The 25,378-nt window shown below is 40.9% G+C and overlaps 1 long non-coding RNA gene, 1 other non-coding gene and 1 pseudogene across 2 annotated transcripts, besides 1 other annotated feature; all 3 read left to right on the top strand.

Moving 5' to 3' along the window:
- Positions 1–292: 292 nt before the first annotated feature.
- Positions 293–16,609, top strand: MIR4422HG (MIR4422 host gene). Its single transcript, NR_146283.1, has 2 exons — positions 293–364; positions 16,044–16,609. It is a non-coding gene; the product is annotated as an MIR4422 host gene (long non-coding RNA).
- GYG1P3 (glycogenin 1 pseudogene 3) lies at positions 4,711–6,508 on the top strand (annotated as a pseudogene).
- MIR4422 (microRNA 4422) lies at positions 8,073–8,155 on the top strand. The gene has a single exon (NR_039618.1). It is a non-coding gene; the product is annotated as a microRNA 4422 (primary transcript).
- Positions 22,736–23,235: an enhancer, noted in NCBI's record as "H3K4me1 hESC enhancer chr1:55705977-55706476 (GRCh37/hg19 assembly coordinates)". NCBI's record gives its function as "activates a minimal SCP1, AML or CMV promoter by ChIP-STARR-seq in naive H9 embryonic stem cells {active_cell/tissue: H9 hESC(naive)}" and the evidence as "EXISTENCE:reporter gene assay evidence [ECO:0000049][PMID:30033119]".

Consider the following 25,378-nt stretch of genomic DNA (forward strand, 5'->3'; position numbering starts at 1 on the left):
AAGAAATGAATTACAAGGAGAGAGGAAGTAACAAGTAACAAAAAAATTGTTTGCCACTAAAATTTGAGGTAGAACCTAAAAGGTCATGAAAGAGCCGACTGAATCAGATGGCACGTTAAAAGACTCATCAACGGTGGCAGGTTTATAGAACATGACAGAGGAAGCTGTGCTTAGCTGAGAAGAGGAAGCAGAGAAGGAAGCAGAGAAAAACAAAGTCTGTGATAAAAACTGGAAAGGAGCCACAAAAGGCCACAAAAAACAAGGAAGTCCATTTTGGAACCGGATCCTGGAGTGACTGAAAAGGCAGAGTGTCATTTGAGGATGCGAGTAGTATAATCATACTTTTTTGCATGGAAGAAAGCAAGTGAGTACTTTAAACTGTGGAATTGGGATAGCAGGGGTGGGGCCTATGATATGAATATTCATACTTTTCATTTACATTTTTATTTTTATTGCAGTAAAATCTAGAAAATGTTGAGAGGATTTTTAAAAATTTAAATTACATTCAATTCCCATACATCTTTCTCTAGAAAGGTTCTAAAGGAAAAGAAAAAAATAGCTACATAGAGAAGTAAGGTATGATGAACTATCTTGAAGACTGAGGGTTTTCTACTGTTAATAAGTAAGTTTTCAAATTATAGATTGAATATCTACTTTGAGCCAGGCTGAGGACTAGGGAGACAATTGTGAGAAAAACATTACACAATTTCTACCCCTTTGGATCTTACTGTCTATAATAAAGGGAAATAGACAAATAATAGTCATAAAGCATGATAGACGCTTTGATGGGGGAATTTCAGGATATAAGGGGCAAATTTCTGCCCTCTGTGGGGGTAATTACCAAGTCTAGGAAAACTGAAAATTTTCCCAGAGAAGACGACGTTCAAACTATAATCTGACGTAAGGTTGGAAAGCCAGGAAAAGGAATATGAAATGAAGGGAGAAAGTTCCAAAGAACGGGAACAACATGTGCAAAGGTCCTGTTGTGGGTGAGAATAAAGCAATTTGGAGGAATTAAAAGCCAGTGGAGTATAGAATTCTAGAGAGATATGGATTGAGCATTCCTAACCTGAAATCTGAAATGCTCCAAAATCTGAAAAAAAAAAGTATTTTCTTATTCTTTTTTGTCTTCTTATTAAGAGATGGGGTTTCACCATGTTGCTCAGGCTGGTCTCAAACTCCTGAGCTCAAGTGATCTTCTCACCTCGGCCTCCCAAAGTGCTGGGATAACAGGCATGTGTGAGCCACTGCACCCAGCCCAAAATTTGAATTTTTTTTTTTTTTTTTTTTGGAGACAGAGTCTCACTCTGTCACCCAGGCTGGAGTGCAGTGGCACCATCTCGGCTCACTGCAACCTCTGCTGCAGGTTCAAGCAATTCTCCTGTCTCAGCCTCCTGAGTAGCTGGGATTACAGGCATCTGCCACCATGTCCAACTAATTTTTGTATTTTTAGTAGAGGCGAGGTTTCACCATGTTGGCCAGGCTGGTCTCAAGCTCCTGACCTCAAGTGATCTGCCTCCCTTGGCCTACCAAAATGCTGAGATTACAGGTGTGAGCCACCATGCCCAGCCCCCAAAATTTGAAAACTTGAGTGGTGACGTGATGCCACAAGTGGAGAACTCTGCACTTGACTTCATGTGATGGATTGCAGACAAAACATGGGTAGAAACTGAAAGCCTGCCATTGTTTGTTATTGTTGTTGTTTAACAGCTAATATAGGTATTCTGGGGATGATACTGCCCTATTTAGGTACCCTGAACACATTATTTTTTCACTGTATTAAGGGTATGCCATACTTTTTACTGTTAAGTACTTAAGTGTGAATGGTATAAGAAAAAAATTGCTTATGGGTAGCATATATATTCAGAGACAGGAATGATGATGATGCCAGACAATCACAGATTGTCCATATCAGTAGCTCACATGGTGACACCTCTGCTTTCTGATGGTTCAATGTATACAAACTTTGTTTCATGCATAAAATTAAAAATTTGTATTAGGTCGGTGCAAAAGTAATTGAGGTTTTGCCTTTAAAAGCAATGGCAAAAACTTCAATTACTTTTGCATCGACCTAGTATAAAATTATCTTCAGGCAGGGAGTGATAGCTCACACCTGTAATTCCAGCAGTTTGAAAGGCCAAGGCAGGCAGATCACCTGAGGTCAGGACTTCGAGACAACCCTGGCCAGTATGGTGAAACCTTGTCTCTGCTAAAAATACAAAAAATTAGCCAGGCATGGTGGTGGGCGCCTGTAATCCCAGCTATTTGGGAGGCTGAGGTAGGAGAATCGCTTGAACCCAGGAGATGGAAGTTGCAGTGAGCTAAGATTGCACCATTGCACTCCAGCCTGAGCAACAAGAGTGAAACTCCATCTGAAAAAAAAAAAATTAGCTGGGCGTGGTGGCATACACTTGTGAGCTCAGCTACACGGGAGCTGAGGCAGGATAATTGCTTGAACCCAGGAGGTGAAGGTTGCAGTGAGCTGAGATTGCTCCACTGTACTCCAGCCTGGGCGACAGAGGGAGACTCCGTCTCAATCAATCAATCAATCAATCAGTCAATACAATTATCTTCAGCTTAGGTGTATAAGGTGTGTTTAAAGGCTGGGCGCAGTGGCTCATGCCTGTAATCCCAGCACTTTGGGAGGCCAAGACAGGTGGATCACAAGGTCAGCAGATCAAGACCATCCTGGCTAACATGGTGAAACCCCGTCTCTACTAAAAATACCAAAAAAAAATTAGCCAACATGGTGGCACGCACCTGTAGTCCCAGCTACTCGAGAGGCTGAGGCAGGAGAATCGCTTGAACCTGGAAGGCGGAGGTTGCAGTGAGCCAAGATCACGCCACTGCACTCCATCCTGGGCGACAGAGTGAGACTCTGTCTAAGAAATAAATAAGTAAATAAATAAAAATAAGATTTGTATAAAACAAATGACTTTTGTGTTTATACTTGGGTCTCATTCCTAAGGTATCTCATTCTGTATACTCAAATATTCCAAAATCCAAAAATGTCCAAAATCTGAAAAACTTGTGGTCCCAAACATTTCAGATGAGAGATACTCAACATGTAGTAGTGAGAAAAGAAGCTAGGAAGGTGGACAGACACCAGTTCCAAGAGGGCCGCTCAAACTGTAATAAGGAAATTGAACTTTATTCTGAGGGAATGAGAAGTCACAGTAACATTTATGCAGAGGACGGAAGTGATGCTACTTAAACTGTAGAAAGATCAACCTAACTGCAGTTTGGAGAATGGTTTAGAAGGGAGGAAAAGTGAAGGTGGAGAACCCAGTAAGGAGACAAAACCAATTAGCCTTCCTAGGTAACCACTTTGGAATGAAAAGTTGAATGAAAAGTTGAGTTTTGTTTTCTTATGCAGTGTACAATTTTTGTCTTTTGTCTTGCCTTGAAGCAGTTTTAGTGTGATATGTCTAGATGTGGCTTTCTTTATATTTATCTTAATGGAGTTTGTAGAATTTGTTGAATATGTGTTTTGAGGTCTTTCATTAGCTTGGAAAATTCTTGGTCATTATTTCTTCATCTATTGCTTTTGTTTCATTGTCGCTCTCTTCTCCTTCTGGGACATTAATTACATAAATGTGAGACCTTTTCACCAAATCACATTTGTCTCCTATGTTTGTTTTTTTATTTTATAATTTTTTTTTGAGACAGGGTTTCACACTGTTGCCCAGGCTGGAGTGCAGTGGTGTGATCCTAGTTCTCTGCAGCCTCAATCTCCTGGGCTCAAACAATCCTGTCACCTCAGCCTCCCAAGTAGTTGGGAATAGAGACATGAGCTACCTGCCTGGCTAATTTGTAAAATTTTTTTTGTAGAGACAGGGTCTCACTATGTTGTCCAGGCTGGTCCCAAATCTCCTGGGCTCAAGTGATCCTCCTGCCTTGGCCTCCTAAAGTGTTATATTCTTCTGTCTCTTCATGCTAATCTCAATATGTTCTTCTGCCTCTCTTCTCATTCACAGATTCTCCCTCAGCTATATCTAATCTTCTGTTTTTTTTTTGTTTTTGTTTTTGTTTTTGTTTTTGAGATGGAGTCTTGCCCTGTCACCCAGGCTGGAGTGCAATGGCGTGATCTTGGCTCACTGCAACCTCCGCCTCCTGGGTTCATGCCATTCTCCTGCCTCAGCCTCCCGAGTAGCTGGGGCTACAGGTGCCTGCCACCACACCTGGCTAATTTTTTGTATTTTTAGTAGAGACGGGGTTTCACCGTGTTAGCCAGGATGGTCTTGATCTCCTAACCTCATGATCCGCCCGCCTTGGCCTCCCAAAGTGCTGGAATTACAGATGTGAGCCACCGCGCCTGGCCTAATCTGCTGTTAAGTCTACTTATTGTGTTCTTAATTTTAGTTATTGTATATATTTCTATAAATTCACTTCAATTTTTTATGAGTTCCACATCTGTGCTGAAACTATCTTGTCATTTAATTTCTCGAACATATTAATCACAACTGTTTTATAGTTTGTGTCTGATAACTTCCATACCTGGATCTCTTGTGGGTCTGTTTCTATTGTCTGATTTTTTCTCTTGATTATCAGTCACTTCTTATATTTTTATCAGCATAGTTTTTTGAAATGGAAAATTGTGTTTTAAAAACTATAGAGATGACCTGAGGTTCTAGTTGATATGTTATTTAAGGGAGGATTCACTTTAGTTTCAACAAGCGGTTGGGAATACATATAATAAGCAACTTAAGTCCTGCTGTGCCTCCTCACTGGCCACGCTCCTTCCAGGCACCAGCTTCTCTGAGCCACCAACCTGCGGCTGCCCTGGCCCACCTGCGCCTCTGGCAGCACCATGACAGATCAGGTCTTTGTGACACTGACCACAAATGATGCCTACACCAAAGGTGCCCTGGTCCTGGGCTCATCTCTGAAACAGCACAGGACCACCAGAAGACTAGTCATGCTCGCCACCCCGCAGGTCTCAGACTCCATGAGAAAAGTTTTAGAGACAGTCTTTGATGAAATCATCGTGGTAGATGTCTTGGACAGTGGTGATTCTGCTCATCTAACCTTAATGAAGAGGCCAGAGTTGGGTGTCAGGCTGACAAAGCTCCACTGCTGGTCACTTACATAGTATTCAAAATGTGTATTCATGGGTGCAGATACTCTGGTCCTAGCAAATATTGATGATCTTTTTGAGACAGAAGAATTGTCAGCAGCACCTGACCCAGGGTGGCCTGACTGCTTCAATTCTGAATTTATCAGCCTTCAGTTGAAACATATAATCAGCTGTTGCATCTTGCTTCTGAGCAAGGTAGTTTTGATGGTGGAGAACAAGGCATACGGAACACATTTTTTCGCAGCTGGGCAACAACAGATATCAGAAAACACCTGCCATTTATTTATAGCCTAAGCTGCATCTCTATATAGTCCTACCTCCCAGCATTTAAAGTGTTTGGTGCAAGTGCCAAAGTTGTGCATTTCCTGGGACAAGTCAAACCATGGAATTATACTTATGATCCCAAAACAAAAAGTGTCAAAAATGAGTCCCACCATCCCAACGTGACTCATCCAGAGTTTCTCATCCTATGGTGGAACATCTTTACCACCACCGTTTTACCTCTGCTTCAACAATTTGGCCTTGTCAAAGACACCTTCTCATACGTAAATGTGGAAAATGTCTCAGGAGCCATATCACATCTGTCCCTTGGGGGGATCCCAGCTATGGCACAGTCTGTGTATCCTCAGAAGAATGGAAGGAGCGGTGGGAACAGGGCTAGACCGATTATATGGGAGCAGATTCCTTTGACAACATCAAGAGGAAGCTTGACACTTACCTCCAGTAGAAACACTGCATTTTCCTGTGGACACATCCACTTCACAAGCCTTGTTTCTGATACTTAGTATCTAGAGCTGGGTTGAGAAAAGTCTGTTATGGTTGCTAGAGATTTTCACAAAAACTTATCAGATGAGAGGTTTTTGTAGGACAACAGGTGAGAACTGGGCAAAAGTTGTGAAGCAGCAATTCCGTTGTTACATGGACAGTGTTTTGCTTTTTAATCCTGTTTAGCTTGTTTCAGAAATTCTCACTTTTGTTGACTGCCAACATACAAAGTAGGGGAAACTCAATATTAAGCTGTTAAGATGGCTGCATCAATTCTTAAAATCTGCAGAGCCTGGTTCCAAATCAGTCACTCCCTTCAGAAGCAGACATGGCATCTGATCCTTGCTTGCTTGCTGGTTGTACCTACCTTTCACTAGACCTGCATTTTGGAATTGCCCAGTGCTGCCAGAGTGAGTGATTGTAATTCTGTTTTCAGGTAAAGATAGCTTATATTAACACTGCTGAGTGATTCATAAACGTATCAACAAATAGCATTAACCCATTTTATTTCCTGGTCTTAGTGTCTGAAGATGTTCACCAGTTTTCTATGTACAGTAAGGCAGCATGCTAAAATGCTTTTGTTCAGTCTGTATATTTGAAAATAGCAAGGTGTTCTCTGATGGTTACCTGCAGTGGAACCCTGTATGAAAAATAAAGACTTACTGCCATAAAAAATAAAAAATAAGCAAACTTTGGGAGGCCAAGGTGGGTGGATCACAAGGTCAGGAGTTCGAGACCAGCCTGGCAAATATGGTAACACCCTGTCTCTAATACAAAAATCAGCCGGGCGTGGTGGCGCACGCCTGTATTCCCAGCTACTCGGAATCTGGGAGGCAGAGGTTGCAGTGAGCTGACATCGTGCCACTGCACTCCAGCTTGGGCAACACATAAGACTCCGCCTCAAAAAAAAAAAAAAAAAAAGCAACTTAATTCAATCAGGGATTAGGAGGGTTTCTGTGGGTTTCTGGACCTCAGTCTTTGTGAGGGCTAGTCTATTTTTGGCCCATCTTACTTGTAGGATTCTTTAGGGTTCCCAACTGGTTTAGTTGTTCATTGCTGTATCTCAAACCACTTCAATATTTGTGGCTTAAAACAATAGTGATTTCTGGCAATTATCTGGGTCGACTGAACAGTTCTTCATTTGGTATTGGCTGGGATCATTCGTAAAGCTGCATTCAGCTGGGCACTTGGCTGGGGCATTTTAGTAAGTTTTCACATGGCATCTCTATACAATATTCCATCCCCGAGGGCCTCTCCACATGGCCTATTTCTCCACTGGGATAACCTTGACTTAAGCATGGAGGCTAGATTCTAACAGGGAGAAATCCAAAAGTACAAGTCCCAGTGAGCAAGTTCATATTTAATCTTTGTTTGTTTCACCTTTACTAATGTACTATTGATAAAAACAAATCACATAAGCCAGATGCAGTGGTGTACACCTGTACTCTCACCTACTCAGGAGGCTGAGACAGGAGGGTTGCTTGAGGCCAGGAGATTGAGGAGGGAGTGTGCTATGATCACACCTGTGAATACTGCACTCCAGCCTGGGCAATGTAGCCAGACCCCCATCTCTCAAGACACAAACAAAAGAAAACAAATTATATGGCTAAGCCCGAAACCAATGTGAAGAGGACCACCCATAGGCATAAATCCTGGAAGGTTTGGTTCACTAGCAGCCAGCTATGTAACATATTACCATATCAAATGAAATCCTATGGTGCTTACCAGAGTACCTCCTCTTTAATGGCTCCTGATCTCCAATTCTTGTCATCTCAGCCCTGTAAGCTCTCTTCAGCTTTTGGGCTTCTCAGTTGCTGATTAGGAATCAGCAAAAACATTAAAGGAAAAGCAATACCAAATGATGGGTTCACCTCTCTGTACTTCCTTTCTCTTTGGGATTGGTCCTTTGAGTTCACGTTTTCTTAGAAACTTTCCAGTGCCTTCAAACTGGTATTTCCTGTATTCTTCCCAGCTTTTCTAGTTGTTCTCAGTAGGAGGGATGGTCTTAAGCAAGCTGATCTGTATTGCTGGCTCACAGTGGCCAGGGGAGTAGAAAGAGCTCAAAGAGAAGTGACTGGTTGGGTCCCAGGACTTCTAGTCTCAGAAAATCCCTCAGTCTCTAGCAGGGCAGGGCAGAGGAGCCCCAGAACCACCTTTCCTCAAAGTACTTTAGCCTATGCAAGCTTAGACTGTTGTCCTTTCACTGTTAACCAGTATTAACCAGTTAACCAGTTCTTCTGCAGACAAAAGCATCAGGAAGTACCCACCATGTACCAGTGGGCCCTTCTTGATGCTCTTGATTGCAGAGGAGCCCTGCAACCTGAATAAATCCTCCTGGAAGGTAAGTGGGGGAGCCCTAATTAAAACTGTAATTCAATGTCTCGATATTTTGGCAAATGAAGGTTCAGGTGAGTTTTAATTAGTTTCAGAAAAAGCAAAGTAAAATGATATTTAATGTACTGGATTTTGATGGATACAAATCTATATCCATTATATACTATATGTTTGTTTTTTCTAAAAAAAAAAAAAAAAAAAAAAAAGGCAACCAGAAAATTGTCATCAATGTTCATACCTTGAATACTCTAATTGAGTATTGACTTTTTTTGGTAACAGCTTTCTTGAGATGTATAATTTACATACCATACAATTTACCCATTTAAAATGTACGATTCTAGTTTTCAATGCATTCACAGATATGTGCAACTATCACTGTTGGCAATTTCAGAACATTTTCATCACCTAAAAGGAAACTCTGTAGCCTTTAGCTATCACTCTCCCATTTCCCTGTTTCCCCCAACGCCCCCAGAGATAAGCAACCACTAATCTACTTTTGGTCTCTATAGATTTGCCTACTCTAGAAAATTCATATAAATGGAATCTTATGTGATCTTTTGAGTCTGCTTCTTTCACTTAGCATACCTTTACAAGATTTATTCATGTTGTAGCATGCATTAGTACATCATTCCATTTTATGGCTGAATAGTATTCCATTATATGGATATTTTGTTTATCTATTCATGATGGACATTTGAGTTGTTTCCAACTTTTGGGTATTATGAATGATGCTATAAACATTTAAGTAAAAGTTTTTGTGTAGATATATGTTTTCATTTCTCTTGGACATAAACCTAGGACTTGGATTGCGGGTCAAATGTTAATTCTATATTTAATTTTTTGAGGAACTGCCAAATTGTTTTCCAATTTTATATTCCCACCAGCTGTGTATGAGGGTTTTGATTTCTACACATCTTCTCTAATACTTAGTAATAAGTATTAAGTATCTGACTTTTTTTTTTTTTGAGATGGAGTTTTGCTCTTGTTGCCCAGGCTGGAGTGCAATGGTGTGATCTTGGCTCACTGTGACCTCTGCCTCCAGGGTTCAAGTGATTCTCCTGCTTTAGCCTCCTGAGTAGCTGGGATTACAGGTGCCTGCCACCACGCCTGGCTAATTTTGTATTTTTAGTAGAGGTGGGGTTTCTCCATATTGTTCAGGCTGGTCTCGAACTCCCAACTTCAGGTCATCCGCCCGCCTCAGCCTCCCAAAATACTAGGATTACAGGTGTGAGCCACTGTGCCCGGTGTTTGTATTTTTTTTTTTTTTTTTTAGTAGAGGCGGGGTTTCACCGTGTTGGTCAGGCTGGTCTCGAACTCCTGACCTCAAGTGATTTACCCTCCTTGGCCTCCCAAAGTGCTGGGATTACAGGCATGAGCCACCACACCCGGTCAAGTCTTGTCCTTCTTCAGGACATTTGTTTCTAAATATTTTACCTTTTGGTGCTATTATAAATGGAATTGTTCTCTTAATTTCACTTTTGAATTGTTCATTGCAAGTGTATAAACATACAATTGAATTTTATGTATTGATTTTGTAACCTGCAACCTTGCTGAATTTGTTTATTATTTATAATAGTTTTTGTGAATTCCTTAGGATTTTTAATACGCAAGATCATGTTGTTATCTTGTATATTAATGATATATAAGATAATATATCTTTCCAATCTGGTTGTCTTTTATTTATTTTTCTTGCCTAATTGCCCTGACTAGAACCTCCAGTAGAGTGTAGAATGGAGGTGGTAAGAGCAGCCATCCATGTCTTGCTACTGATCTTATGGGGAAAATACCCGGTCTTTCACCATTGAGAATGATGTTAGCTGTGGGTTTTTCATGGATGCCTGTATCAAGTTGAGAGAGGTCTCTTTTGTTCTTTTTTTCCTTATTATTATTTTTTTATCATGAAAGGTATTGGATCTTTGTCTCCAAATGCTTTTTCTTCATCTATTGAGATAATCATGTCATTAAAAGAATTCTGTTGATATGATGTGTTGCATTAATTGATTTTCAGATATTAAACCAACCTTGCATTCCTGGAGTAAATCCCACTTGGTCGAGGTGTATAATTCATTATATATGGTACTGGGATTCAGCTTGCTAATGTTTTCTTTTAAAGCATAGTGGCCAGGCACGGTGGCTCACGCCTGTAATCCCAGCACTTTGGTAGGCCGAGGCGGGCGGATTATGAGGTCAGGAGATCAAGACCATCCTGGCTAACATGGTGAAACCCCATCTCTACTAAAAATACAAAAAATTAGCCAGGCATGGTGGCAGGCGCCTGTAGTCCCAGCTACTCAGGAGGCTGAGGTAGGAGAATGGCGTGAACCCGGGAGGCAGAGGTTGCAGTGCGCTGAGACTACGCCACTGCACTCCAGCCTGGGCGGCAGAGTGAGACTCTGTCTTAAAATAAAAAAACAGAAAAACGATAATATTGGGGAAAGAGAGCAATTAGTTTTATTTTTTTAATTTTTTATTATTTACTTCATTTTATCATTTTTTTTTGAGATGGAGTCTCGCTCTGTTGCCAGGCTGGAGTGCAGTGGCATGATCTTTGCTCACTGCAACCTCCGCCTCCTGGGTTCAAGTGATTCTCATGCCTCAGCCTCCCAAGTAGCTGGGATTATAGGCACGTGCCACCCCAACCACCTAATTTTTGTATTTTTAGTAGAGATGAGGTTTTACCATGTTTGCCAGGATGGTCTCGATCTCCTGGCCTCATGATCTGCCCACCTTGGCCTCCCAAAGTGCTGGGATTACGGGCATGAGCCACCGCACCCAACCTATTTTTTTTTTTTTTTTTTGAGATGGAGTCTCATTCACTGTCGCCCAGGCTGGAATGCAGTGTTGTGATCTCGGCTCACTGCAACCTCCACCTCCTGGGTTCAAGTGATTCCCCTGCCTCAGCCTCCCAAGCAGCTGGGATTACAGGTGCATGCCACCATGCCTGGCTAATTTTTGTATTTTTTGTAGAGACAGGGTTTCTCCATGTTGGCCAGGCTGGTCTCGAACTTCTGACCTCAAGTGATCTGTCCCCGCTCCTTGGCCTCCCAAGGTGCTGGGATTACAGGTGTGAGCCACCGTGTCTGGCCAAGAGCAATTACTTTTATAGGAATCTAGGTTCTGAGTCTGTGCTGGGAAAAAAAAAAAAGTCAGTATGGTCAATGGAGAAAGCTTGAAGAAAAATAATTCTTAAGTTTCCCTGTCCCTTAGTAAAGACAGTATATTCCTCAATGGAGAGTCATTTGAAATTTAATGTGGTATTGTCCTTCACTTAAGAAATAATGTGATTGATAATCTGACTGATCTAATGACAACCCAACATTAGCTTTTAGCTATTTTTCCAGCAGCAGCAGCAATGAGTTGTTCTCAGCCCCCATCACTAAGGCAGACCTATTTCCTGGGCACTGCAAATTGGTTCCACTGCCTCCACTTTGGAATACATTTTACTTATAGTAGTTGAGCTGGATTCATACCTGATAGTCCATAGCATTAAAAAATGCATGATATTGGATTGTCAAATAGAGAGGAGACATGGGAGTTAAGACCAAGGTTTTGACTACCAAACCCAGGACTTTTCCTTGATTCATTAGGCAATAGGCAACCATTAAATGTTTTGAGTCAGGGAATACCATGATTGAAGCTGTACTTTAAGAAGATTAAACTGGCATTAGTGCATTGGATATAAAAGATCAAATAAACAGCTGGGTGATGAGAATGAAAAGCAGCTTGCAGAAGTAAGGTAAATTCTGCAGGAGCTGGTAATTAGATTTGATGATCAAGGGAAAGGGAAGACTACTAGATTTTAAGACTGGGTAATTGAAACAATACTGGTGGTATTTTCTGAAGTCAGAGTTCGACTAGAAGGAAAGGTGATGGCTTTGGCCTTAGATGAGTTGAGATTTAACTAGGAAAGTTTGCCTGCAGACTTCCACAATCATATCCCATGCAAACAATTGGAAACAAAACAGCCAAAGCTAATAAGCATTTACAAGGAAAGGACACTGGGGCTATTTAATTTAGAAAGTGAAAAAAATTTAGCAAAAAAAGAGAAAGGTGAAAGGATCTATTTATTTCTCTGATGACCTAGTTCCTAGCCTTTAACTCAGCATACTGACCTACCCGTGACACTATATGCCAGGTGAAGCAAGCAAAGCTTGTTTTGGGAGAAGTGCCCCAAGCACACACTGTCCTTTTTGAGATGGAGTTTCACTCTTGTCACCCAGGCTGGAATGCAATGGTGCGATCTTGGCTCACTGCAACCTCTGCCTCCCAGGTTCAAGCGATTCTCCTGTCTCAGCCTCCCAAGTAGCTGGGATTAAAGGCGCCTGCCACCATGCCTGCCTGGATCATTTTGTATTTTTAGTAGAGATAAGGGTTCACCATGTTGGCCACGCTGGCCTTGAACTCTTGACCTCAGGTGATCCACCCGCCTTGGTCTCCAAAGTGCTGGGATTACAGGCGTGAGCCACCAGGCGCCCAGCCCACACCATCCATTTTTACCCCATTGATCCTCATTTTCATCTCCCTGCTCCTGGATAGCTGGTTCCATATTCCAGCTTTCCATATTGCTTTTGATCTGCATTGTGGTCTCTTCTGGCTATTGGATACCTCTTTCCATGGGCTCTTAGAATGCTCAGATTTCAGCAATTGCATAGTTTCTAGCAGAAGACTTCCTCTGCCAGTCCAGCCCCTCAAAACCCTCCTGCTCAGATTGGCCCCAGAATCTCTGCCAGGAGATGGAGATTGGGGCAGTTTATCTTAATTTGATTAGCAGGTTTAGCTTCTGCAAAGCACATTCTTACAAGGAATATTTGAGAATATGTAGTCATAATGTAACAGCTTGCAGTTCTCTTTCTTATTCTATAACTGATTGAAAATTCTAATAAGAAATATGTGTACCTTGATGGCAATGTTGAAACTCAGTTGTTTAGAAAGATGGACTCCCCTATATTTAGCTGAAAAATCAGGGTTTGAGGCTTTTAGTTCCCTCTGAAACCATGAGGACTTAGCCCTTGAGATCCAGTTTAATTCTAACATGATTTAGAAGTCTGTTTCATTTCCCTGATGTTGAGTCACCAGGCTGGATTAATTTTCCAGGGTGTTGTGCTAATTATAGGTTAGTGGAGGAATGGGCTAAACCAAAATGGCAACAAGCGAAAAAGTAGCAGGTTACTCTGAGTGCTGCTGGAGTGTAAAGCTATTTATAACATCACAATTGAATGGCTACTATTAATTAATAAGCATCGCAGTGACCTTCAATTTTCAAAGACGTTCACCATCATTTTCTAGTTAATCTTTCCCATCCATTACTGCATTCGTTTTATATGAAGGGCAGAGCTGATGAATTACTTGCCTGAAGTCATGTCTGTGGTTAAGCCAAAATTACACTTTAAACAGATGAATAATAATAAAAATAATATATTTGTGGAGTGTTTTTCAATTTTCAAAGGATCTTTTCCTTCGTTATTTTATGACTCTTTATTCTTCATGCTTACTAAGCATCCCTATGAAGGTTTTCTGCTGGTTAGCTCAGGATAGCAGAAGAGAGGAGGGTTCAGTTTATGGGTATCTTGGTTAAATTTGAACTGAATAGGAACATAAGAAACACAACATTCAGGAGTTTAGAGGTCTGAGTTGTATGATCTTTGTTCCTCATCACCTTTTTTTGTTAGGTTTTCTTGGCCTTTGAGGACCCATAGAGCAAACATTCAGTCACATTAAGTCTTTGTTTTTCAAGGCTTTGATTTTGTTCCATTCAAACCTAAAATGTATGAATCCGCAGAATTTGATGTCAAAAGAAGCCTCAATTTAAGAAAGTTTGGTTAATCCAAAGATTACTTACATTAGAATACTGGAATACAATCTCCAAATAGCTTAGCTGATCCTGGTGTCTGCTCTGAACCTTCATGCTGTATACCATTTCTGCTCCCTTTTTCTCACTCAACACCTGGGCTTTTCTTGACCCTTATAGACCCAGGATGTCCATACAGTACAGTTGATCCTCCCAGAACCTTCTATACTCCCACAAGCAAAGAAACACATAGTTGCATGGATGCTTAAAAGGTCATAGAGTCTAACATTGTCATCTTACAAATAAAGGAACTGAGGCTCAGGGAGTAGAAGTGACTTTTCCAAGTCTTATAGTAATTGCCAGCGCTGGTGTAAAAGCTGTCAGACTTTTGCTCCTGTAGAAAAGGAACTGAAAGGCATCAGAAAGTCAAACTCTCACTGCAGCAATATTTACCGTAGCACAACTACTGAGTTAGCCACATATATCATAGAGCAGTTCCCAAGATGTTCACGGATGTTCTTTGACATAGGGTTTTGTGGTCATATTACTTTGTGTAGTTGGGAATTCATGATGCAGAGTTGAAGATTGGAAACTCTGGAAAGTCTCTTAGGAAGGATTTTGTTAAGCATTTCTCAAATCATTTCTTCGTTATTTTCTTCCCAAAGAAAATCTAGTAACAGCTCGTGTAATTAGTGTTCATTGGTGATAGTGACACTTTGATGAACAAATACATGGTGTCTGTTAAAGCAGATACCAAGCAGTCACAAGCAGGCTGAACTGTTGAGTTCTTTGTTGCAGGTTATTTTATCTTCACAACATCTTAGGATTAGGTATTACTATTCCTACTTTACAGATGGGCTTTGGACTTGTTGCATGTGACAGAAATTGAGCTCAAACTTGCTTCAAAGGAAAGGAGTGTTATTAGTTCCTGGAACTGAGAAGCTTGGAACATTGAAACCAACAACGTTCTTTCTCCTATCTGTGCTTCTGTCTTTGTCAAGTCTATTCATCCCTTTTACAGACAGATGTCCTCACAAGAATGAGGATATGGCTGTGCACAGCTTAGATTCACTCCGTAACACTGCAGCTAGAGACGAAAGGACTACTGCCAGCCCCACTTAACCAGATCCTGGAGAGGGACTCTGGCCAGCAAGGCCAGCCCCTCTGCTGTCTGTCTCTGTGGAGGAAAATGGGTACCATTGTTAACCGAAAGGGGTCCTGATCCAGACTCCAAGAGAGGGTTTGAGAACGAATTCAGGGTGAGTCCATAGAGTAAAGTGAAAGCAAGTTTATTAGGGAAATAAAGAAACAAAAGAATGGCTATTCCATAGGCAGAGCATCCCTGAGGGCTGCTGGTTGGCTATTTTTACTGTTATTTCTTGATTATATGCTAAACAAGGGGTGGATTATTCATGAGTTTCCTGGAAAAGGGAAGAACCCCAGAACTGAGGGTTCTACTCCCTTTCAGACCATATAGGGTAACTTCCAGATGTTGCCATGGCATTTGTAAACTGTCATGATGCTGGCGTGTGTCTTTTAGCATGCTAATGCATTATAATTAGCATATAATGAGCAATGAGGAATTTTGTCACCACTTTGGTTTTGGTGGGGTTTAGCTGTCTTCCCCTGCCCCCCACCCCCCCAATCCAGTTTTATCCGCAGGGTCTTTGTGATCTGTATCTTGTGCTGACCTCTTATCTTATCTTGTGACTTAAGAATGCCTAACCTCCTTGGAATGCAGCCCAGTAGGTCTCAGCCTTATTTTACCCAGCCCCTATTCAAGATGGAGTCGCTCTGGTTTGAATGCTTCTGACGCCGTGATTGGTTTAGACTCAATCTCACACTCTCTTTGTGGCATAGGAGATGTGTTTTCAGAAATCCAGAAAGGAGCTTAGACAAAACAGTAGTCTCAGGGAACATAGCTAGTTAAGTGATGGAACTGAGATTTGAAGTCAGATCTGTCTGACTCCAAAGTCCATGTTTTTTTTGTTTGTTTTCTCTGTGGTTTGTTGTTTCTATGATGTGGCTTCTGTCACCCTGACTCTCCTTTTGTCTTTTGTCCCTCACCACCTTCTGTAGTTTCCCAGTCCTCCTGACTCATACCAGGGAAGCCTCCTGTGTCCATATACAATGAAGGCTCAGGGACTTCTAACTCCTGGTGGACTGGCTGATTGAGCCCTGGAAGTGTACTTTCTCCTTCATTTCCCTCCTGACTCTCGCTGGGAGAGTTGTAGACTCCTGGGAAACACAGGTCTATGGCCTGCCTAAGAGAGGACCAGCCCACACCAAAGAAAGTGCCACTGCCTCCTCCTCCTCAGTGGATGCCACCAAGCCCCGAGGAGGACAACCTTTTCCTTAATCTCCTTGAAACCCAGGCAAACTTTGACAAAAGGAAAGGTGTTTCCAGTGTGTTGTTAACTGAACCTTGGTTGCTTGGCAGTATGCAGTTCTTGTCTAATTTACCCCAAGGAAATGTCTGTGTGATGTATTTTTAATTTGCTGAAGAAGGATAAGTGTTCAAACCTTTGTACATTTATGCTGAAATTAATTTTTCAAAGTCCACATAACTTCAGTGCTGTGGGATAGTCCTTAAGAACAGAAATTATGACCAACCATAATAAATGACACATTTTTGTGAAATGTCATCTCTCATAAAGTTGTTGTGAAACTTAAAGAGGATGAAGCTTGGAAACCACCCAGCACCATGCTTGGCATATGAGTTGCCTTTCCTCTTATTCCCTTTCTAGCTCTTGGGGTAATAGAAGCTACAAGACGTAAAATTCCTGTGTGTATGGGGTAGGAATAGCTTTGGCTGTAAATAACAGAAAACTCAACACAAGAGCATAAAGAAAGAAGATCGGCCAGGCCTGGTGTCTCACGCCTGTAATCCCAGCACTTTGGGAGGCTGAGGCGGGTGGATCACCTGAGGTCAGGAGTTTGAGACCAGCCTGGCCAACGTGGTGAAGCCCCGTCTCTGCTAAAAATACAGAATTTAGCCGGTGTGCTGATGTGCGACTATAATCCCAGTTACCAGGGAGACTGAGGCAGGAGAATTGCTTGAACTTGGGAGGAGGAGGGTGCAGTGAACTGAGATTGTACCACTGCACTCCAGCCTGGATGACAGATGACAGAGCAAGACTCTGTCTCAAAAAAAAAAAAAAAAATCTTTTTCCCTCACAAGTCTGATGTTGGAATCTGGAATCTGTGGGTTTGGTTTTAGTCTGGGAGCCCACTAAACCTATGGCTAATAGTTGTTCAATTCTCCTGGCCTTTTCTTCAGGCATATTGGTAAATAGAGGTAGCCAAGGGAGAAAATGGTCAAGAATGGGTCTTGGGTCATCTAACTTGTAATATTTGCTACACTGAAGCTTTCAGTGTAATTCTTAGCTGTTCTGCAAAGCTGGGGAGGGAGTTGGAGTTGGTGGTCAGTTAGCAAGAGTCAACTTTGCTTTCTCCCCTTTGTGTAACTAAAAGACCCAGTAGAGCACAGTCAGATCCCATCTGGAACATATAGGGGTGTGTTAAGCTGCACAGTCAGTAGGAAGCCATTTCATGGGAGCCAATTGTTAAATTTTTAGGAATTTTGTGAGCCAGCTGATAAACAGACATTATTAAAAGTTGAATTATAGGCTGGGTGCAGTGGCTCACGCCTGTAATCCCAGCACTTTTGGAGGCCGAGGGCGGCGGATCACCTGAGGTCAGGAGTTCGAGACCAGCCTGGCCAACATGGCGAAACCCCATCTCTACTAAGAATACAAAAATTAGCCGGGTGTGGTGGCACATGCCTGTAATCCCAGCTACTTGGGAGGCTGAGGCAGGAGAACGGTGTGAACCTGGGAGGCGGAGCTTGCAGGGAGCCAAGATTGCGCCACTGCACTCCAGCCTGGGCGACAGAACAAGACTGTCTCAAAAAAAAAAAAATTGAATTATATGAACTTATAATTAAATGAAGTGCATACAAAAAGATAATAAATACTCAAACACCATCACAAATAATACTCAAATGCTACATTTTACTATTAACTATGCTCTTGGGGATATTTATGTCTACTGTATCTGTATGGTATTTTTAAAATGTGTTACTGTGCATTTCTTCCCATCTCTAAGTTTAGTAGTAGTATGTTGATGGCTTCAAATTGGCCATGGGAGTATTTAAACCAAAAGAAATCAGCAAATGCCACAAATCTGTCAATTATTTATTTGAGAGAATTAGTTGCTGAACATTCACCAGCACACCACTGGGCTCAATCCTAAAAATCAGTAATTTGGAGACAGGATGGAAGTGCATGTACATTTGGGATAATTAAGTAGGAATTTCAAAACGATTTTCAGATCCTTGCCAGAGATAAAACACAAACAAGTGGTTTCTTGTGTTCGAAACTAATGCAATAAGAATGCGCTTCATAGGCTGCTTTCGTTTTGCAGGGATACAGAGAGAAGTGTCATTTCCTCAGCTCTTGGTACTTAAGAGTCATTCCCAAACAACAGTGTTCATTGTCACTATCATCCTTAATAAAAACTCACTGCACCTCTACTATGAGTGAGATTCTGAGCTTAACCAAGTGACATAAAAGATGACCTCTGTTTTCAAGGAGCTGATGATTAAACTAGAATATTCACAGAAAAAAATAAATGAGAGAAGTCTATTCTGAATGCTTCATACTTTCTCTTCATAGCACTTACCTTGATTTGTAAATATACACATACACACAAATATTTATATTTATATATTTGTGTATATATTATATCTATACACACACACATACATAGTGTATACTTGCGTAAATGTTTGTTTCATATTGTGTCTTCTATTAGCCCACAAGTTCCATTGGGGTGGCAGCTGCATCTCATTGTTCACAGCAGCGTCCTTGTATCTGCTCAGTGTCTGGCAGATAGTAGGTACTCAATTAATGTTTGTGGAATGTACATAAATAAAAGAAATGAACATTATGGACAATTGGAGCTATAAGAGATGAGAGGAAGGAACACTTAGCAATGACTGGAATGATTGGAAAGGCTTTAAGGAGGTGCTAGGACTTGAGTAGGACTTCGAAGGAAGGGTAAGGCATAAATTAGTTACATGACACATTCTACAGAAGATATGTAAGCCTGGAATGGAAAGTTTATTCCTTTTGTTGGAGTTGGAACAAACCCAGTGGAGCTTCTGGGTTAGGGTCACCAGGGTTATATTCAACTGAACTGTGGTATTACCTGGACTCGAAGGAGCTAGATGCAATTTGAGAAGCAAATGCAGATCAAGGCCCGGAAAGGAACTCAAGGTTGAGTGAAAAGAACGATATCCATTCAGAGATCTAAAGGACAATTTTGAGGTCGCACCTAAGAGACTAGGGAAGCAAAAAAATGCAGGATGGCAAGCAAGGCTGGAAGAGGCAGAGTTTTATTTAGCCTGTGCTCTTCTTCTTCTTTTTTGCCAAGTAAGTTTGGTTTATTAGAACATAACACACTTTAAGCTTGTTAGAAACTTACTTACACATAAAATAAACAGAGCTTAGAATGTTTTCGTTTTATTATTATTTTAAATTAGAGACGGGATCTTGCTATGCTTCCCAGACTGGTCTCAAACTTCTGGACTGAAGTGATCCTCCTGCCTTGGCTTCCTAAAGTGTTGGGATCATAGGCATCTGCCACCAGCCCCGACCTAGAATATTTTCTTTTCTTTCTTTTTTTTAAATTTTTTTGAGACAGAGTCTTACTCTGTCTCCCAGACTGGAGTGCAGTCTGGGTTCGAGCGATTCTCACCTCAGCCTCCGAAATAGATGGGCTTACAGGGATGTAAAAATTACCACGCCCTGCTAATTTTTGTACTTTTAGTAGAGACGGGGTTTCACCATGTTGGCCAGGGTGGTCTTGAACTCCTGGCCCCAAGTGATCTTTCCATCTCGGCCTCCCAAGGTGCTGGGATTATAGGTGTGAACCGCTGCACCCAGCCTAAAATATTTTCTTGATGGCTATTACAATAAGAAATAAAAATATAATAACTTTGTTTCCCCACTCTTTGTAGCCTCATTTCCCTCACTCCCTATTGGGCATTCAATATATAGTTCCAGATAGAATAAAATAAATCCTCAATACGAGATTAAGCTTAAAAGACTATTCAGGAAACCATTTTTTGAACAAAACTAAACCAGAACATGTTTCTCACAAATGCCAATTAAAGAAACAAGAAATAAAATCCCTATCATTATTAATATATTTAAATATAATGTGCATCTTGCCACAGGCTGCATTTTAGGATACTTATTTCAGATGTATTAGGGAAATTTTGGAAATACAAAAAAGATGAAAAATTAATGCTAAAGGAGTAATTATAAATCAAGACAGAAATGATATTATGGGCCAGGCGCAGGGACTCACGCCTGTAATCCCAGCACTTTGGGAGGCTGGGGCAGGCGGATCACCTGAGGTCAGGAGTTCAAGACCAGCCTGGCCAACATGGTGAAACCCTGTCTCTACTAAAAATACAAAATTAGCCAGAAGTGGTGGCACACGCCTGTCATCCCAGCTACTCGGGAGGCTGAGGCAGGAGAATCACTTGAACCCGGGAGGTGTAGGTTGCAGTGAGCTGAGATCATGCCATTGTACTCCAGCCTGGGCAAAAAGAGTGAAACTCCATCTCAAAAACAAACAAACAAAAATTATGGAAGCATTGTACACAAATCAAAGTGGGAAAATTGTTTTAGAAGTAGGTAAGTCAAGATAAGAAATATCAGAAAAAAAAAGCCCTTTCTTTTTTCAACCAAGATTTGCTAAAAGGTTTTTGTTGTCCAGTAATTCACATTGATCCACAAAGACAGCATTAAACAAAATAGGCTTAAACTGTAATATAAGATATTTAGGTTGCATAATACAAGATTTGTTTCAGTGAAGATTACTAACCAACAGAATTTTGGTATAATAAATATAAATGTCTTTTCATATATTTTTATTTTATTGAGCAAATGTAAGAGGGTTGATAATCTATCACATCTCTTCTATGCTTTTTGCTTCAGGGTATTTACAGATTTAACAGGGTTTTTTTCCTCTTGTTATTTATTCAATTATAATTAAAGACTTTACCTGCAGAAATAAGTCACATGAAATAACAATGGAAAATCTGAACAAAATTGATTACTTCCAAATATCATTTCACAAAACAACCATTCTGTCTTATGGTATATCCCAAATATATTAGGGAAAACAAGAATAAGATGATAATTCTTTATTTTCTTTCCTCTTACATCACAAAAAGTAAGCAAAAACAACAAATAAGAATCGCTACCAGGTGTGGTGGCTCATGCCTGTAATCCCAGCACTTTGGGAGGCCAAGGAGGGAGGATTGCTTGAACTCAGGAGTTGGAGATCAGCCTGGGCAACATAGCAAGAACTTGTCTCTACTAAGAAAATAAAAATGAAAAAATAAAAATAAAAAATCAGCTGGGCATGGTGACACATGCCTATAGTCCCAGCTATTTGGGATGTTGAGGTGGTAGGATCTCTTGAACCTGGGAGATCAAGGTTCCAGTGATCTGTGATCATGCCACTGCACTCCAGCCTGGGTGACAGAACGAGACCCTATCTCAAAAAAAAAAAAAAAAAAAAAAAAAAGAATTGCTAATGCAACCCATATTTTAAAGATTTATCCTGCATCTAGATGTCAAAGGAATAAAGGAGTGAACAAAAAGGGAACTATATTGATTCAGTGATTAAGGAATAAATGTTTTGTAGAAAACTTAAAGGTTTTCTTTTTTTTTTTTTGAGATGGAGTCTTGCTCTGTCGCCCAGGCTAGAGTGCAGTGGTACGATTTCGGCTCACTACAACCTCCGCCTCCTGGGTTCAAGCAATTTTCTGCGTCAGCCTCCTGAATAGCTGGGATTCCAGGCACCTGCCACCACACCCGGCTAAGTTTTGTATTTTTAGTAGAGATGGGGTTTCACCATCTTGGCCAGGCTGGTCTTGAACTTCTGACCACCTGCCTCGGCCTCCCAACGTGCTGGGATTATAGGCGTGAGCTACTGCGCCTGGCTGAAAACTTGAAGTATTTTTAGAAAAAGAGAAGAATTAAGTTTTCATAAAAGAAAATCTAAAACTAGAATGGGATAAAAGATTCCTAGGGCAGGTTGATAATATTCCAAGTGATGCTAAATACCTATTTATGGAAACAAATGGTTTTTTTCTTCTGTCGAGTTGCACCTATGCAAGACAGATGAGACAATGACTATGCACATTTACATTTTATGCTAAGACAAGGGAAGAATGAAAGCCTGGCTAGTTCTTGTACTTGTCTCTTTTTTAAAATATTAAGAAGAAAATGAAATGGAAAGAATGATTTAGAAAAGAAAAAAGGAGTATAGCTTGAGTACCATGAAGATGGCTCATTTAAGGAAGTGGTATAATGACAAGTTCAATAATTAAGATACTTTTCTTTTATTTCAGAGCCAACAAGAGGCAGTGTGCTCTAGAACAGCATTTCTTAAACATTTCTTAACCCCCTGGGGGTCATAAGAAGCCAATTCTCATTGAGCAGTTCTGGGGCAGGGCCTGATAGTCTGCATTTCTAGCAAGCTCCAAGGTAAAGCCATGCTTGCTGCTAGTCCAAGGCCAACACTTGGATCAGTAAAGCTGTAAAATTAATGTTAATCTAAGTCATAAAGAAGACAAATGAAAATGTCAGATAATTTTGTCCTAGGGAGAAGATTTAAAGCCCGGCTAATTTTTTGTATTTTTAGTAGAGACGGGGTTTCACCGTGTTAGCCAGGATGGTCTCGATCTCCTGACCTCGTGATCCGCCCGCCTCGGCCTCCCAAAGTGCTGGGATTACAGGCGTGAGCCACCGCGCCCGGCCGTACTCTTGATTTTTACATCCCATCGCCCTGCCCAGTTTTTCCCCCTCCTGCCTTTCCCATTTCATTGAATGGAATCTGTCTATTCTCCCTGGTACTCCTCATCCTTAATATTTCCCTTTCCTTCACCAGTCCTCCTTCCCACCAAGCCACAGCTAATCCAACAGCAAAACAAGTTCAATTAATTCTCTCTCTCTCTGTTTTTTTTTTTTTTGAGATGGAGTCTTGCTCTGTGGCCCAGGATGGAGTATAGTGGCAGGATCTCGGCTCACTGCAACCTCCACCTCCCAGGTTCAAGCGATTCTCCTGCCTCAGCCTCCCAAGTAGCTGTGCCACCATGCCCAGCTAATTTTTGTATTTTTAGTAGAGACAGGGTTTCACCATTTGGCCAGGCTGGTCTTGAACTACTGACCTCAGGTGATCTGCATGCCTCGGCCTCCCAAAATGCTGGGATTACAGGTGTGAGCCACTGCACCCGGCCCAAGTTCAATTAATTGTACCTCCACAATATATCTTGACTCCAATGACATCTCCTCTACTGACATATCTGTAATCCAGGATAACATCTGGACCACTCTGACTAGCTTTCTACCTAGTTTCTCAGCTGCCATTCTCACTCTTCTGTCTGTTCTCCACAAGAAACCAGAGTGATCTTTTAAAAATGTAAATTAGCCAATATCTCTCATGAACTTAGATGCAAAAATATTTAACAAAATATTAGCAACTTGAATCAAGCAATGTATAAAAAATTATATACCATGACCAAGTGGGATTTATTCCAGGGATACTGGGCTGCTTCAGTATTTGAAAATCAAATAATGTTATCCACAACATTAACAGACTAAAGAAGAAAATTCACATAATTATCTTGATTGATGAAGAAAAAAACATTTGACAAAATTCAATACCCATTCATGAAAATTTTCAAAAAAATAGAAGGAAATGAATCAACTTGACAAAGAGCATCTACAAAAAATCTACAGGTAATATTACGCTAAATGATGAAAGACTAAATGCTTTTCTTCTAAGATTAAGAAAAAAGTAAGGATGCCCACTCCTACTACTCTTACTCAACACAGTAGTGAAAACTCTAGCCAGCGCAAGGTAGAAGAAAAGCCAAAACATACAGATTGGAAAGGAAGAAATAATTTGCCCTGATTTGCAGACAACATGACTGTCCATGTAGACAACCCCCAAGGCATCTACTCCAGAACCCAAACAAAACAAAACAAAAATTCCTACACCTAGTAAGTTCAGTAAGGTCACAGGTTACAAGATGAACACACAAAAAAGTCTATATACTAACAAGGAATATGTGGAAACTGAAATTAAAAACACAATATCATTTATGATAGCTCCAAAGGAAATGAAATACCTAAGTATAAATTTAACAAAACAAGTACAAGATTCATATGCTAAAAATTACAAAACACTGATGAAAGAAATCAAAGATCTAAATAAAGGATAGTGATAACACTGAATGCTGTTAAGGATGTGAAAAAACTGGATCACCGAGAATACAATCCCAGTGGGAATGTAAAATGGTTCAGCCACTCTGGAAAATAGTTTAGCAGTTTCCTTTAAAACTAAAAATTCGGCCAGTTGCAGTGGCTCATGCCTGTAATCCCAGGACTTTGGGAGGCCAAGGCAGGCGGATCACCTGAGTTCAGGTGTTCGAGACCAGCCTGGCCAACATGGCGAGACCCCATCTTTACTAAAAGTACAAAAATTAGCCAGGTGTGGTGGCAGGTGCCTGTAATCCCAGCTACTCAGGAGGCTGAGTAGGAGAATTACTTGAACCAGGGAGGCAGAGGTTGCAGTGAGCCGAGATGGTGCCACTGCACTCCAGTCTGGGGTACAAGAAGGAGACTCGATCTCAAAAAAAAAAAAAAAAAATTATAAATTCACTTAGCATACAATGTTGCAACTGTACCCTTGGATATTTATTCCAGAGAAATGAAAGTGTATACTCAATGTTCAAACCTGCGCATGAATGTTCATTTATTTATAAGCATTTATTTATAATTGCTAAAAAATGGAGACAACCTAGATGTCCTTCAGTGGATGAATAGTTATATTGTGGTACATCTTTACCACGAAATACTACTAAGCAATAAAATGGAAAGGACTATTTTCTTTTTTTTTGAGACAAGGTCTCATTCTGTCATTCAGGCTGGAATGCAGTGGCATGAACATGGCTTACTGCAGCCTCAACCTCCTGGGCTCAGGCCATCCTCCCACCCCAGCCTCCCAAGTAATTGGGACCTGCTGATTTTAAATTTTTTGTAGATACATGGTTTCCCCATGTTGCCCAGACTGGCCTTGAACTCCTGAGTTCAGGTGATCTGACCACCTCAGCCTCCCAAAGTGTTGGGATTACAGGTGTGAGCCGCTGCATCTGGCAAGGAAGGGCCTATTGATATAAGCGACTAGTTGGATAGATCTAAAGGGAATTCTGCTGAGTGAAAAAAGCCCATTTCGAAGGATTACATACTGTATGAGTCCATTTGTACAATATTCTTGAAATGTTGTAATTACAGAGATGGAAAGCAGATTAGTATTTTCCAGGAGTT

Source organism: Homo sapiens, chromosome 1 (genome assembly GCF_000001405.40).
Source record: "Homo sapiens chromosome 1, GRCh38.p14 Primary Assembly".
Lineage (NCBI taxonomy): Eukaryota > Metazoa > Chordata > Mammalia > Primates > Hominidae > Homo > Homo sapiens.